This window comes from Homo sapiens, chromosome 1 (genome assembly GCF_000001405.40).
Source record: "Homo sapiens chromosome 1, GRCh38.p14 Primary Assembly".
NCBI classification, from domain to species: domain Eukaryota; kingdom Metazoa; phylum Chordata; class Mammalia; order Primates; family Hominidae; genus Homo; species Homo sapiens.
The window spans coordinates 116,364,964-116,381,320 of NC_000001.11; the positions used below are offsets into that span (position 1 = coordinate 116,364,964).

General features: G+C 45.9%; 1 protein-coding gene across 2 annotated transcripts in view, besides 4 other annotated features; it reads left to right on the forward strand.

Annotated features, from left to right (window-relative positions):
- Positions 7,908 to 8,437: a silencer, noted in NCBI's record as "silent region_1229". NCBI's record gives its function as "represses an Ori minimal core promoter by ATAC-STARR-seq in GM12878 lymphoblastoid cells {active_cell/tissue: GM12878}" and the evidence as "EXISTENCE:reporter gene assay evidence [ECO:0000049][PMID:35858748]".
- ATP1A1 (ATPase Na+/K+ transporting subunit alpha 1) overlaps positions 8,281 to 16,357 on the forward strand; it is a 31,531-nt gene continuing 23,454 nt past the window's right edge. The window contains exon 1 of one of the 2 annotated variants that reach the window (NM_000701.8): positions 8,281 to 8,560. In NM_000701.8, the coding sequence (NP_000692.2) occupies positions 8,549 to 8,560 (12 nt within the window). In that variant the 5' untranslated portion in view covers positions 8,281 to 8,548. Of the gene's footprint in view, positions 8,561 to 8,903; positions 9,279 to 16,357 lie in introns of those variants that run through there. The other variant, NM_001160233.2, reaches the window with a different exon arrangement.
- Positions 8,868 to 9,167: a silencer, noted in NCBI's record as "silent region_1230". NCBI's record gives its function as "represses an Ori minimal core promoter by ATAC-STARR-seq in GM12878 lymphoblastoid cells {active_cell/tissue: GM12878}" and the evidence as "EXISTENCE:reporter gene assay evidence [ECO:0000049][PMID:35858748]".
- Positions 9,538 to 9,657: an enhancer, noted in NCBI's record as "active region_1559". NCBI's record gives its function as "activates an Ori minimal core promoter by ATAC-STARR-seq in GM12878 lymphoblastoid cells {active_cell/tissue: GM12878}" and the evidence as "EXISTENCE:reporter gene assay evidence [ECO:0000049][PMID:35858748]".
- Positions 12,860 to 12,909: an enhancer, noted in NCBI's record as "active region_1560". NCBI's record gives its function as "activates an Ori minimal core promoter by ATAC-STARR-seq in GM12878 lymphoblastoid cells {active_cell/tissue: GM12878}" and the evidence as "EXISTENCE:reporter gene assay evidence [ECO:0000049][PMID:35858748]".

Below are 16,357 nucleotides of genomic sequence, written 5' to 3' on the forward strand. Positions count from 1 at the left end.
GGGAACAGGACGGCACTTCCACAAACCGTTCATGCTGCATGATTATGCCTCCCCTGGAGGAACAGGAGTAAACTGGCAATGAAGAAAGCAGCAGAGAAGGGTAGGATTTGGCATCCAAACCTGAGGTAGATCCTTGACATCTCTCCCAGGCTGCCCACTCCTCTCTCCACTATTGGAGGAGCTGGAAACTCTCAGCCTCCTGAGTCCTCTAGGAGAGCAAGGTGATTTAAGTCACACATATTTCTGTGACATGAATGTCCAAACAGGAAGCCAAAGGGAACTGGCTTTGCAGTTTTTTTAAGGCAGCATGTGGCTAGGAATGGACATGACCAATCATTACTGCTATAATTTGACATGTCTCCAGCCTAAGAAATCTACCATGCATTGAGGTAACCTGATATAAAACCGCTTTCACTATTTTGAAATTAAGGTTTCTCCACTGCTCATGGAATGTGAGCCTGTGTTTAGAAGTCAATGCAGGGCCTTAGCTGACACTTCCATACCTGCCAAGAGCCGCTGATGTGAACCAGGTGGCCTGCTTCAAGCAGAATTCAATTACCCAGATGGCAACTGTTTCTTAATTCAAAACTTTAACAGCGTTTTTTTTTCCATTATGAAAAATGAGAGGGGAAAAAGAATACATTGAGCTTGAGCACTTCTGGTTTATGAGATTAGAGGCAGGGGAGGGAACTGGGTCCCTGGCCTCTGCCAGCTCCCTGCAGCTCCAGCCTGCAGCACTGTATCTGCCTGACTCGGCTGCTTATTCCTGGAGCAGGAGTGACGGTCCTGAAACTCAGCCTCCTCTTGGGTTTGTTCTTAGGAAGCTAGAATAACTCTCTCTCACTAATTAGTGATTGCATTAGCAGATGGTATCTTTTTTTTTTTTTTAAGTAAAAAGGAAAAAGAAGAAAAGGTTTTAAAGGTTTTAAATTGCATTTAGAGACAATGCTTTCTTTCTCCTGAGGAAGCCCGTGCAGTCTAGATCCTGGATATTCAGGCTTCTTATTCTGAAGGTGAAAATCAATCAGCTGGGCTACGGCTCTGACGTTTTAGTGGACTTATTTTCCTGGTCCTCGCCTGAAGTTTGGTAATAACCAGACCAGTTCAGACAGGTGGAGTGCTGACTGACCTCTACCACCCAACTGGGTGCACTTGGCTGGCTGTGTCTCAGTAGACTGGTTCTTTGTTGGATAAAGGAGATTGACGTGGGAAAAGGTGAGCCAGCATAAAGTAAATTCTGTTCTCATTCTCTCCTCCTGTAGACAAATTTTGTAGCTGCCTTCATTCTTCCTTGGACCTTATATCTCCCAGGCTAAGTAGGAATTTGGAATCAAGACGAGATAATTGCTTACCCTCTTTGAACAGTTACTACATGGCAGGCAATGTTCTAGTGCTTTAAGTATATCATGTCAATTGTTTCTCATAGCAGCCCACTGGTAGAGTTACTAAGTTAGATAGTTTTTCTAGATAAAAAGCTTCATGCTTACATACATTGTTTGAAGAAGGTATTTGGTTAGAATCCTGTCATGTGATCAGCTATTTTGGGTCCACCACCTCCATCACCACCATCCCATTACCTCCTACCATCACTTTCATTACCACCACCACCATCTCTGTCTCCACTGTTAACTCTTAACACTGTGTCCATGACCAGACGTCAAATGTTAACAGGGACTTGTCAAAAAAGCAAAAAGCTGAGATGTGTTAGGCAGGGACATCTTTAACTTGAGCTATTTGGACAACTTTTTTTTTTTTTTTTTTTTTTTTTTTTTTGAGGTAGGTCCCACTATATCACTCAGGCTGGTCTTGAATCATTGGTCTCAAGTGACCCTCTCACCTCAGTATTTGGACAATTGAAGCTAAATTTTTCATTAACTTGGTTTCTTCCTTCTTTTCTTTATCTTCTATAATTTCGGTCTTCAAATGTGAGATTGCTTACCAGGCAGCTTAACATTTCTTTAGTCAGTGGAGTTGCATCAAGCACTGGACTCTGAGAGAACTGGAAACCAACAAAGTCCTTGGCCTATTTGGAATTCACCTTAGCAAAAAACACTAGGAAATCAGATAAAATGCCTGAGCCATCCCCGCAAATTGAACTATCTTCTGAGGGCTAGGGAGTTGTATGTTGACCAATTGTTAAAATTATGTCCTAATTCCAGTTTTTCATCATATCCAGCAATTCAAAAGCTTCTGTTCAAGAGAAGTAGTAGATAATAGGGATGGTAATGGGAGTTAAGGCATGCTGCCTGTGTGTGCACAAGAAAAGGAAGAAAATAAAATTAGCATACTATGACAAAAATATACAAGGAGATATAGGTATCTTGAGATTCTGAATTCAATAATGTGATCAGAGAAGCTTTCATAAATGTGCTGGCTATGAAGGCATATCTACTGGAGAAATCTTTCCAAAGCACAAATCTGATCATGCCCTGCCCCTGCTTAGAACCCCACAGTGTCTCCCTATGGCCCATAGGATAAAGTCCAAGCCCTTTGATGGCATCCAAGTCCTCCACAATCTGGACTCTGCTCACCTCTCCAAGCTTACTTCCTGCCGCCATTCCTCTCACAACCTAGGCTCTCGCCATTTTAATCTTCTGGCCAGTCCTCCAACACTCAGTTTGTTTCTGTCCTGAAGACCTTACCCATGTGCTACTTTTGCTTGCATCCTCCTGGTCCTGCCTAACATGCTGCCATTCCGTGAACTCCTAACCATCTTTCACAATCCCAGCCAGGGAAGCCTTTCCCACTCTGCAGACAGAGCTGGCCACTTCCTCCTTCATGCCCCCATGAAGGCCTGCATATATGCAGCACCTCTCACTGTGTTACTAATATCTCTTTGCATGTCTTTTTTTTATGCCAGATGGTGAGCTATTTGAGGGTAGAGAATGTGTCTTAGTTATCTTTATACAACAGCAACAAGCACTGTGCTAGGCTCAGAGTAGATATTCAATAATGTTTATTCTGATTTTTTGCATGAACTAGTTCTTACTTCTGTTAAATACTATACACTACCAGAGTTAAGGATTGGAGTATGCTCTTTATAAGAGGGGGAAAAAAGGGGGAACCCTTCTTAGGGGCTTATTTGTAAGAGTCCACATGTAGAGGTCACCATCGCCAAAATGGAAGCCTCCAGAGTAAAACATAAGCTGTTAAAAATGAATTGAGCTGGTTACTATTTTTGCACCTGACCTACTTTTTGGTTACTTCTGCTGTTGCAAAAACTTCCATTCTTATAAATGAACCAAACCACTTTTTGATGGTTTTGTATTCTCTCCTCTTAAGGTAGCTTTTTACTGAAACAAAAATCTGCACAGTCTCTGAAACCCAGCTTTAATGCAAAGGCATCTATGGAAGAGTATTATTCCCAGTAGGACCAACTTCCAAAGAACTCTCTCAATTGTTTTTCCATGGAAGAGTTTAAGGCCAAGAATAGCAAATCTATCCACCACGATGATGGCACTTATTTCCTTAGTGCTTGTGGTTGTGCCCCCTGGAGAGCAGGAAGGGTTAGATGCCAGTTACCTCCCGCCACCTCTTCCCAGCTTTGGGCTTGCCCTTTCTGAGCTGTAAGGCTGCCTGAAGCTGTGTCTCTGCTGGTTGGATGAAGATGGGACTCTGGCAGTGGAATATTTTTCAGTCCAGATCCCTTCTTTGTTACCATTTGATTTTCTTTTTTTTTTTTTTTTTTTTTTGTTGCAATGCCTCGGTAGTTGTTGATTTGCAGAAAACAATTGGTGAGTTTTTAAATGTAGGATATTGTAACATCACATAGTGTTGTGAACTAGGGTAAGGGGAGTAGAACTGTATTGGCAGAGAGTGCTAAAGGAGAAGGCAGAATCCTGGCTCAGGATCTGGTATAAAACACACAGGAAACAACTAAAGAATCCTTTATTACTGCTTTATTTACGAAGACCGCTATTAATAACAGCAAATTATTTAAAGGGCAGCTGGGTTAAAAGGATGCTGAGTAAAACACCAAGGACTTGATTCTGTTGTGGTTGGTGATAACCTACAATAGTTACCAAGTAAATGCAGACTCTTTCAAATTTCCCAGTTTCCCAGAGGCACAACCTGAAGTCTTCAACCACCACTAACAGGAGAAAATATGTTTAAAAGAATACTAAGGAGCTTTCAAAAGGATTAAGAAATGGCTCGGGGGCCGGGCGCGGTGGCTCACACCTGCAATCCCAGCACTTTGGGAGGCAGAGGCGGGCAGGTCACGAGGTCAGCAGATCGAGACCATCCTGGCTAACACGGTGAAACCCAGTCTCTACTAAAAATACAAAAAATTAGCCAGGTGTGGTGGCAGGCGCCTGTAGTCCCAGCTACTAAGGAAGCTGAGGCAGGAGAATCGCTTGAACCAGGAGGCGGAGTTTGCAGTGAGCCGAGATCGCGCCACTGCACTCCATTCTGGGGCGATAGAGCGAGACTCCGTCTCAAAACAAAGAAAAAAAAAAAGAAAGAAAGAAATGGCTCGGCTGCGCTCCATTCTGGGGCGATAGAGCGAGACTCCGTCTCAAAACAAAGAAAAAAAAAAAGAAAGAAAGAAATGGCTCGGCGTGGTGGCTCACACCTGTAATCCCAGCACTTTGGGAGGCTGAGGCAGGCAGATCACTTGATGTCAGGAATTCGAGAACAGCCTGGCCAACATAGTGAAACCCTGTCTCTACTAAAAATACAAAAATTAGCCTGGCACGGTGGTGCGTGCCTGTAATCCAAGCTACTCAGGAGGCTGAGGTACAAGAATTCCTTGAACCCGAGAGGCAGAGGTTGTAGCGAGCCGAGATTACACCACCGCACTTCAGCCTGGACAAAAGAGTAAGACTCCATCTCAAAAAAAACAAACCAAAAAAAAGGTAAGAATGGAGAGTCTGGGAGGAAAAGTTATAGGAGTCAGAATTATTTGCTGACAGATTTTGATAGTCAGCAATGCACCCAGAACTGTGCTTTTAAAGACAGGTGATATGTCTGCTGCTGAACAGAAGAAAAGGAAATAGATTTGCAATGGAGGCACAGAGATTTGCAATGGAGGCACAGATAATGGCTAGGGGGAACTTTGAATGATGAAGACAGTTGACTTTAAAGCAGCAAGAGTGGCTTTCTGGGTAACGTGGAAAATTCTGGATAATGTGGGAAATAGGTAAAGGATAAAGATGCATGCTTATGACTGTTTCCATGCTAACTCGGGAGCACACAAAGCCAAAGAAAATTCTGTCCTTCCAGATCTCTAGCTCATAGATCCCCAAAATTTTTGTGTCCTATGGAAAATGCTAAGTTGGTGTGGGCTCCAACTCATATTTTAAAGCCTTTAATTGCAATGATGTGTTTATTCAATTCAGCAAATACTCAAAGTGCTAGCGTTCTTGGCTCAAAAAACTGACTTGCATCATATTTTTCATACATCTGCTGACTCTATTCACAATGACTGGAGCAACCATCCACAGTTGTGATCAAATTCTCCTCGAAGCTATCCATACTTGGCAGCCTTAAGGTCTATAAATGCTGAGTCTCCAGGCCAATCAGTTTAACTGTGCCCCAAGTTAGAAGCTTGAAAAGAGTTGATAGGATAAGCAGCAGACAGAATAGAGAGCCTTTGCTTTCTTCACCCTCTCTTCTAGAATCCAAATTTGTCCCCTGCACTGGAGTTAGAAAAGCTACCTGAAAGTCTTGCCACTATTCTTGGAATATTCAATACCAATTACTCCCTGGGCCTCAGTTTCTTCATCATAAAATGAGGGAGCTTGATGTTTCATCTATAAGGTTTCATTTCATTCAGAAGCCACTCTTCCAAGGGAAGAAAAGAAGGCTTTTTCTTAAAAAAAAAAAAAAAAAAGGACTTTTCCTCCTTTGCTTACCCATTTTCCAAGGTGTCTCTCTCATATCTGAGATTTCCTTCTGCGCCTCAGACTTGGTCATGCCTTACCTTTTTCTTTACCTCAAAGACTTGTGAGAATTCAAGGGCACTGTGCATCTGAAATTACTGTGTGGCATCAAAAGCAAAATACAGATTTAAGATAATGTTTCTTATATTTTTTGCCCTTTCTTCACACCGGAACACAGCTAGAACTCTGGGATCCTCCTGAAAGGACCTTCAGCAATTTTCAGTTGCCAAATAAATAGCTCTAGATACAAAGGGAAGTGCCTTGATCTATCAGGGTTATTTTGTTGAGTGAATGAATGAGAATTTTACTTATGAGGGGAGAAAAAGGAGATCAGCTGGCAGGAGAAATCTACGTTGTTCCGACCCGTGCTTTATATATTTAGTTGTTGCCGCGGCACTTTTCCCATTCAGACCAGGGCCCAAGGAGTAATTAATCTTTGTTTTTATTTTTATTTATTTATTTTTTTGAGATGGATCCTCACTCTGTCACCAGGCTGGAGTGCAGTGGCGCCATCTCAGCTCACTGCAACCTCCGATTCTGTGGTTCAAGCGAATCTCCCGCCTCAGTCTCCCGAGTAGCTGGGATTACAGGCATGTGCCACTACGCCCAGCTAGTTTTTTTTTGTATTTTTAGTGGAGACGGGGTTTCACCAGGTTGGCCAGGATGGTCTTGATCTCCTGACCTCATGATCCGCCCGCTTCGGCCTCCCAAAGTGCTGGGATTACAGGCGTGAGCCACAGTGCCTGGCCCAGGAGTAATTAATCTTAAACAAGCTATCTTTAGCAAGCAAAAGCATCTTACAAAGTACAGTAACTGAGGCTATCAAGCATGTAAAGAAAGCATTTTCTAGAAGCTTAGAGATGGATCCCCGAACACTCTGTAACCCTCTGTTAACAGTCTAAGGAATTCTGTTCTGAATTTGGGGGCTCTTCTCCAGGCAGTCAGGGTTTTGAATTCTATTTACAATTCCTCTGCTCTCTATGGCCTAGAATGATTGAACCAAGTCTCTAGATCACTGTAGGAGACATCAACCTTTAACAATACATTCTTGAGGAGAAGAGACTCGTGTAAGAAACTATCTTGTAAGAAGGGATGAGAATTACCCTAATGATGTAACTGACAACACAGTTTCTAGTTTTTCCTTTCTTTCCTTCCTTCTCCATTTTTTCCAGTTTCATATCCTTGTTTGTTCATGCTACATGAATACTTGAAGTTGATAGAGTTGGCTTTAACTTAGGAACCTTTGCTTAGAAAGTCAATATCCTGGCCTTTCCCAGAGTACTTGACTTCCTGCAAACCTTGTTAATAATACTTTGTTTTTTAAAATGTTGGAGAACTTCAGCCATTGCAGCCTCTTGCTAAGAAGCAAAAGCTATAATGACAGAGAAGCCCCAAAGTGCAGTGGAACCAGGGATCTCCGGGGAGAGTGGTGGTTTCCTGGGCCCCCCCAGAGAACCCAAGGCTGTGCTGGAGATGCTGCCGTGACAGGTGGAGGCGTGGAGAGGCACCTGGCAAGTCCTCAAACGCCTCCCCCTTGATTTAGCTCCTCTAGCTAAGGATACGCATTCCTTTGGGTTTCAGGTTTTTCTTCCCTAAAAAGAGAATCCCCAAACTGGACAAGCAGGTTACATTCACACAATAGCGTGAATGAATTCGCTGGTCGCCCTTCAGATTCTCATTTTGGAATCTCGAAGAAAGAGAGGTGGTGGGAGGAGGGCGCTTGAAACTTCTGGCGATGCCAGTTCAGATCGATTCCAGCTATGACGGAGCGGGAAGTGGATAAAGAGGACCCCAAGTCACAGGAGGCACTCTGAGAGCACCAAGCGCCCGGGGAGGCCATCCGCAGGTGGGCGCGGGGCCTGGATTCCACAGAGGGGCGGAGTCCCTCAGTCAGGCGCTGGCTGCAATCACACCCGAGCGCCAGCCCCCTCCAGCATCCCTGAGTCCCAGAGGAGATCGCCGAAGCGCTGGAAAAGCCGTTCCGCCCACGACTTCTGGTGCCGGGTCGGCGGCGACTGGGGGAGCCCAGTTCCGAGACCGTACCGCACCCACTGCGGACCTCCTGGGCCCTACATAGTAGGCGGGTCATGCAGGGCAGCGGGAGGAGGGGCGTGGGAGGGCCAAGGCCGCCGAGTCCCCGCTGTTCAGCCAGCAGGAGCGCCCCGCAGCCCTCCCGGGACACGGTGGACACGCTTGTCCCAGACCTGGGCGCCCTCCTGCCGGGAGCCAGGACTGGCCGCAGCAGGCGCTGTCCGGGCCCGTGGGCGGGGTTTCGGGAGGGGGCGGAGCCAGGCCCACGGCCGGTGTCAGGTTGCTCCGGTAACGGTGACGTTTCGCGGCGTGGGCGGGGCCAGCACGCAGGTTGCATATTTTAGGAAGTGAGGAGGAGGCGCGGGCTGGAGCTGCGGCGGGGTCTGGGGCGCAGAGCAGCGGCGGGAGGAGGCGGACACGTGGCAACAGCGGTAGCAGCCCGGGCGGCGGCAGCAACAGCGGCGGCGGCATCGGCCCGAGCCGCCGGCCGCCCTCCCACCCTCCCGCCCCGCGGCAGCCCTAGCTCCCTCCACTTGGCTCCCCTGGTCCCGCTCGCTCGGCCGGGAGCTGCTCTGTGCTTTTCTCTCTGATTCTCCAGCGACAGGACCCGGCGCCGGGCACTGAGCACCGCCACCATGGGGAAGGGGGTGAGTGTCCGGCGCGCCCGGGGAGGGGGCTCGGGGAGCCCTCGAGGGGAAGAGGAGGAAGTCGGGAGGGCGACCGCGGCCAGCGGGAGGCGGCGGAGGAGGAAGCGGCGCCGCGTGGAGTGGGCTGGCAGAGCCGCGCGGCTTAAAAGACGACGCAGTTTGGAAATGGAGGGAGCGCAGTAACGGGGGGCGGGGGAAGGGAGCGCCGAGGGGCTGGAGCGCGGCATTGCTTAGGGGGGTGGGCGGACCCTGGGCGGGGGCTGCGCGCCCCGGAGGCCGAGCGGGCCGGGGGCTCCGAGAGGCGGTGCTTGGGAAGCCTCGGGGCCGGGAGGAGGGGGCTTGCAGCAGCGGGGGCGGCCCCGGGACTGAGCCGGCATCCCTGAGCCTGGCTCCCCTCCCTGCGACCGCCGTCACCTCCTTCTCCTTCCTTTTCCCTCCGCCCTCCGTGCCCTGAGGAAAGGCGCGCTCCTCCCCTTCCCCTGGGGCGCTCCGCCGGGGCCTCCTCCCGGGCCTCCGTTCCCGCCGCGGCCCCGGTTCCGGCGGGGGCAGCCTCCGGGTTCGGGGCTCCTTCTCCTGGGGACGCTGGGGCTTAGCTTGCTCCGCGCAGAGGCGGCCGCCCTCCCCCAAAGAAAAAACTGGCTGCTTCTAAGTGCGAAGCCGGCTGGGCGGGCTGGTGCCAGAAAGGGTGTGTCTTCACTGCCCTAAGATGGCCTTTAAGGTATACTTTTGAGGGCTTTCTTGGGCCACTTTCCGTAAACACAGGATGCACCGATGGCAACTGGAGTTGTCATCCGATGGTGGGGAGAGGCGTGCAGATTTTTTTTGAAGGGACGAGCCCTGAAGGAGGATAGGCAGACCCACCAGGGCCTCAGGGTACAAGAAACCCGAAAAAGGACTGGAGGCTGCAGGCAATACGGTGGTAGGAATCTCTGCCGGTTTCCAGCGTCGCGGAAGCACCAAAGGGCGGTCCCTGAAGGAAACGAGGGGTCTTGGGGCTGGAGAGCGGCGCGGAGCGTGGTGGGAATATCGTCACAACGCCGCTGTCCTACATTTCTGTAGCGAAGACTTGATTACCCCTAGCTATTACCCGTGCAGGAGACTGGGCCCTGGACCCCAAATGAGCCAAAGTCTAGTTGAGAAAAATTTACACAGAATAACCTCGGAGTTCATGGGGTGAAAGTGACCATGTCATGAGAATACAAATGGGAGAGAATCCACTTCGTTGTCTCCAGGGTTTAGCACAGTGCAGACACTGAGTAGGTCTTTGAAGGCCCTGAGGCTTCTGGGTGTAGACAGAGTGTCGGGAGCAGAGGGAGGCTGCACTCCTTGGGGACTCTAAGGGAGTTTTAAAGGAGGTAATTGAAAGGCTTGGACCTGGTGGGGAGAACAGGCACAAGTGGAAATGCACAACTCGCCTCGCTTTTAAAAGCATGCAGCGTGGAGGGCTGGTCCAGGTCAGGTGGCATCAAAGAGCGGAGTACAGGGCCTCTCCATTCCCCTGATGGAGTCTGGGTTAGTGGCCTGTGCTTTTACCACACCGTCAAACCCTTGATCATTTCTGTAAACATGCACTTTAAAGCTCATTCTTTGTCTCTCCTGCCTTAAAAGAAAAAGAAAAAAGTTTACTTCCTGAGCTAATTTTGGGGGGTTTAGACATCACAGATGTGTGCCCCAAGCCTAGGAAGGTGAAGTGACTTGCTCAAGGTCAAACGGTTGGCTAGTGACAGACTAGGCGTCCCTGATTCTTGAACAGCCTGTGGCCTCAAGCCTGAACATGCATTTACTCTTTAACATTGAGTTCTTTATACAGAACTCAGAACTTCGGATGAAACGGGGTATTTGTGATGTTGAATTAATAGGCCATGGAGATGGTTTGGGTAACTAAGTTATGTCCATTTATCTAGATGTCTCCTTTATAACCACACACAGGCACACATGCACAGTAGTGATGCGGTGGTAACCCACCTGAATAGTTAGTAGAGCTTAAACCCAGATGTCTTACAACAAAATGTATAGTGGCTAGCAAACACAAGATTAAATTACAGCTGCGAACACTGGGATGATGAGCTGCTTGGCTGCTGGGTGGTAGTTAGCATTTTGAGTATTCTGATACATTAAACATTAGTTTACTTGTGTGTGTGTTTGTGTGTGTGTTTGTCCTGTGACTTATTGTGAGCGTCCAAATGTTCAGAAGAATATTTCATGTTGGGATTTTTCCACATGGGGATTAAAATGTGGGTGGAGAGTGACTAAAGCCCTGCTGATAATTGGCTAACAAGGAAGCCTGTGCCGGCAGCTAATTTTTAAGGTCATTGTAAATTTCTTCCCCTCCTCTCCTCAGTACCCTTTGTGGCCTAGCTTTTGATGATATTTCAGGTGATTTTATATGTCCTTAAAAGTCTAGTTCCTAAGCATTTGGTAAGAAAATGAAAGAACAGCTCTTGCTGAATCATTCCTGGATGAAATAGGATTTTGTCCCTTTTTTTCTTTCTGGGTTTTATTGCCAGTGACTTGGCTTAAACCGTCAGCTAGGCCTACCACCGGCAACTGTTTCACTCACCAAAGGTACACGCCATAACTGTTTAGAAATGTGGGAAAGTTTGTCTTCTCAAGTGTGTAAAAGATGAGGAGGGGGGGTCTCACCAGGTCTTTCACTGCATTCCGGATTTAGTTTGAATATTATTTACCGAAAAAATAAATCATAGCTTATGAGTAGTGATTTAAGGAAGGGCAGGGAAAAAAGGTTCCAGTGAAGGTGGCAGGGGGGATGCACATGTCAGCAGAAATCCTGGTTGTATGGTAATGTTATCAGCTGCCCTTTTGGAGCTCAGCTTGAAAGTGTGACTAAAGCTCCTCTGGCTGCTATAAAGCTAGTACTTTAGACTTAAAGCATTGTAAGGCAGATGCCTCAGAGTGGAAAGTTGCCCGGGCCTGGCCGGGAGCTAGTGGAGCAAGTTACAGGAAGAACTAGTGCCTAGAGCTGGGGGGTGGAGAGAGCACTTGTGCCTCACCCTTTGCCTGTCAGTTGTTCAGCGTGTAACAGTTCCCTGCTTCTTAGGTTCTTTCTGTACCCTTTTATAAGGGTGTATCCCCTTTTGGTAACTTACTGTTTGTTAATTTGTAGTGTTCCCTGCCAGTAAGCTTGTAACACTCTAGTGACTCACCTTCGGGTGGGAGGGTAGGAAAGGGAGAGGCCTGCCTCCTAAACCTGGGAAGATGGGGAGAGAGTGGTAAACCTGAGAGCCCAAAAAACAAACCAAAACAAAAAAACAAAAAAAAAGATGCCTTTAAAAATTCAGTTAGATGTTTGCCCAGATGAGGGCTAACACTTAAAATATACAGATTCCTGGGAATGTTATTCCTAAATTGCATTCAAAAATAAAAGTGAACTCAACATCTTATAGCACAATAGGCTTGGCACTCATCCATGCTCCATGCCAGTACCCTCAGTCATTGTTTTCGGATTATTTTAGCAACAAATGAACAGATAAGTGACTTTCCATTCAAATCAGGCTATGTTCTTTTAAATATATCTAAACTTAAGAATAAGAAAGGCTTTAACTAAAATAGCTTTGAAGGATTTTGTATGGTAAAGTAAAATTGGTTTCTTCACTTAAAAACAAACAGGTTTAAAAGTAAAATAAAATAAAAGCCCTGAAGCTTCAGTTTCTCATCTGGCTTTTGGATAGAATGCTCATCCTGGGGATCAAGTGAAGTAATCTATGTTCTGTTTATGGAAGGAGTGCTGTGCCAGCCTGAGTTGTGGCTATTGTTATTGGGCTTACATAGGTACAGTAATTAGAGCCAAGAGAAGATCAAATCTTTACAGACTGGGTTTGTTGTTCGTCAGTAAGTCATTAGCCCTTGCAAAATTAGAGAGCAGTTTTTCTTTCACCATGAGAACATATTAAGGTTTGAAAATAATGGGAAATACTGTTAATTGCCCTTCATAGGAAAGTCAAGTAGAGGTGTCAATTGACATTATTGCAACTGTTATCTTCGCTCAACAAGCAAATCTCCTGTTTAATAGCATCTTTCTGTCTACTTTCACTTCTCAGGTGAAGGACTTTGTTCGCGGTTGATGATCATTTTTACGTTTTTGAAGTCTTGCAAAATAAAATGGGCTTTTCGGCCTTCTGTGATGAGAGGGAGCCTGAACATTTGTGCTGTGCTGACTTCTTCTAGCTGCCGAGGGCTCTCTGCCAGCCAACAGGCTAGAAGAAGAAACCCGAGTGTCAGATCAGATGGGCTCACAGTAATCAGAGTGGCTGGGTTTGGACGGCAAAGCACCAGGCAAAATGTTTCCCATCCCTGCCAGAGCTGTCCAATTCTAGATTACACTGAAAGTACATGTCCAGTACATGATAATGTGCAGTAGAGAGAACTGTAAAACCTACTCACTCATTTTAAAACTCTCCATTTATATATTTTGGGGGAGGGATGTGGAACCTAGTCAGGTCTGAACTTTCTCACGTTGCTATGAATTGAGTGTATGAGAGGAAGTGTGTATTCTTTGGCTGGAGTCATAGAGAGACTGTTCTTAGCATATGACTCACCTCATTAGTTGTGCTGAAATCTGTTGTCAGGAATCCACAAGAAGTTCTTCATATTTATTTTGTGTTTCGGATAGCAGATTCTGTTACGAAAGAAGTACCCTTCACCCTACACTTTCTCTTTGGTTTGGTTTTTATTTGCATCCTGAGCAAAGGGATTTTTGATCAATAGACCTCATTCCTTTGTTCCTTTGTGACTTTACAGTGAATCTCTTTATCTGGTTTTAGACCTCACTTACTAGTTCCTTTGTGAGTTATGATGAAATATATCTGCACGTGATCTCTTTCCAGTTTTATTCAAACCCTATTTAGTAATGACTATTGGCTGTCTCAGTGATTTGATAAGTTGATTCATGATAGTTCGTGCTTTGTCCTTGGGACTTGTATTGTTTGGGAGCCTGATAATCAGTGTAAGATTTTGTGACTCAGTGGGCCTTGCTGTGTAGATCGGTGAGCTGTGATTGCTCTTTCTAGTCTGTTACCATGTAGGGGCAGGTCCCTAATGCACTTTGGGGTTATCCTCTTGTGTGTTTCTTTTATCTTCCACATGATGCTTCCATGGCACCATATTTGTTTTATTATTTCAATTCATGTGACATTTCTTTAGGGCCTTGGACAGCCTTTATCCTCTTCAGCCTGGCAGTCATTTTCCTTCCTAGCCTAGGCTTCAGGGTACTAATTGAGGAGTGATCAGGACTTACTGGGAGTTGATCTGGTCCTCTCATAACGCATATGCTGATTATTAATCAGTTGTCTCTAACCAGAGCAATCTGGTAAAATGAAAAAAAGGAGGGTAAGGTGGTCAGCAGAAAGGGGGAGTTAAGGAATAAGTAGAAAGTTTTAACCCTTCATAACCCATGCACCTAATGTAGAGGTAGAATTTTCCATTGAAGAAACTGAAGTTTTTGTCTGATTGTTCTTAATAACTGTAAAAGCAAAAATATATCTAAAGTGCACTGATTCTTTACACCTTTTAGAATTTTTATTTTTTGAATGATCATGGATGTACACTACTGCAGGTAGGGTAGGCTGTCAGGCTCATTAAGAATTGACATGCAGGCAGATTGGGGAGGAAGGTTAAGTCATGTTCTTTTGGGTTGAGGGAACCTGCTGGCTAGAACTGTCGCTGTTCTTTGACCCTTGCTGGCTGCTGGGCTGCCCAAGTTTGGATATACTAAACTGGGCTCACAAAGGGATCTACTGCTTTGGCCTTGGTAAATTATATTCTCCAGGATGCATATTTGGGTGGGCAAGAGAAGGAATATGAAGGCATGGTGGCCCCTCAGGCTCACCTCCTCTGCAGAGAACTGCTGCTCCTGCAGTGATGTGCTGCTGCTGGGGCTGGATAGCAGCCATGGTACTATGACAGTGTCCTCCCTCAACCCCGGCCATCCCTTAGCCCTCCAGTCCCTGGCTAGACAATTCCTTGCACATAAACTAAACTACTTAGTCATTTAGGAGCAAATGGAGATGTAATAAACTGGGCTAGATCATTTCTTGACTGTTATTTTCTTTAAGTTTTCACTGTTAAGATCAAATGAAAAATAATGCCAAAGGAGTTTTTTCTTCAAAGGTTTGAAAAGAATTTTCATAGAAAGCGAAAAATGGCAGTAATGTATATGTTAATTAAGACCAAGTTATAATAATAGCCTTTGTGTAGTGCTTTGAGAATACTTTTACATACACAATTGTGTTGGATGATTTAATAATGTATCGACCAGGAAAATGAGAAAGCACCCCTCCCCCTTACCTTTTACATTGAAGGTAGCCCAGACTTGGCAGCCTCTAGGGAACCAGCAAGGTCAGAGTCCATCACACAACTTTCCTGCTAAAGTGGTATTTGCCAAATCATGTCCAGAGGTGTTGTTTCTACAATCTTCTTGGCAACTCCGAAATGGGCTGCATTTGGGGCACTTCCTTTTGCCATCCTTCTGGCCCTTCTTGCCCGTCAAAAGCTTTTGTCTGTGGGCTTTGGAAATAGTCCAGTTTTTAAGGTGTTTTATTTTTCAGAGTTAATGGTTTCTTGACTAATCAGACTATGAAAATGCCTTCTCTAGGTTCTTTAATAGTTATACCAAGTGTTATTCCCATTTTAGGAATGAAGAAACTAAGGCTGACAGGCAAAGGTCATGTAGCCAGCATGTGGCAACACTAGAATAAATTGGCAGACTCAACACCATTAGCAGACCTGTCTGGAGGGAATGGTGGGTCTTGAACTTTCAAGTACCCTCTAAACTTTTTCAGCAGGAATTTCAGAAGTCTCAAGAATTCTGAGCTCCCTGCTGGCCATGGGACATTGTGCTGATATGGTGGGAAAAATGCAGGTTGAGAAAGCCTTCGCATCCTGCCCTGTTGGAGGCTGGTGTTTGGGATGGGTATGAAGGCCTTTGGCGGTGGCTATAGCTTATGCAGACCTGAAGCAATATACCTCTGGGATGGAAGATCCTGCTTATTTTGGGATAATTTCTAAATCTGTCATATCTATCCCCAACCCTGTCCCCATTAAATGGCTAATTGCCAAAAAAGAGGAAGCAACATCTTCAGCTCTAGCAAGTCTCGGGGATGTCTCACTCATTGTGAGGACTGTGAGGATTCGGTATATATTTTTAAGTGAGTGAACCTTGTTACATGTTTTAACCTTGGTTCCTCCTGTCAAGAATTTTATCTTCTCATGTCTTGGGCACCTTTTCCCTCTACCCAGATCAAATAGCAAAATGCTTAGTTAATCTTTGAGAGGATAGAATCCATGGGAAGCACAGGATGAAATGATGACGCTGTGCTAAGCTGTGTCACCGTGGGTAAGCCCCTGCCCTTGCTGTGACTTTCCACTTCCTAAATTAGAATGGAAGGGGGAAAAAAAAAAACCATAACCCAACTTCATTTTTATGAGTGGCCCTTTAGAAAATAGTGTAATCCGTTGAGTTTCCATTGTACCTTTCCTCAGAGATGCTCAAAGGGGCGGGGGTGCCCTTACATGGAACATGATGAGAGTGAGGATTAATCACTCCCAGTCCTCTGGGAGGGGGGAAGTGACCTGAACTTTCTAATTGAAAAAGTAGGAAGTGTGTGCCCAATGCCCAGATGAGTGGGAAGATTACTGTAGTTGATTGAGGAAATGCCGTATTTATCATTCACCCTTCCCATGACCTTTGTTTTTCCCTAATGCCTTAAAAAATAATAAGGAAACATTGTCCTACCTGATTCTACCACTGTTCATCTCACGCAGTGTGCACTCCCTGACTCT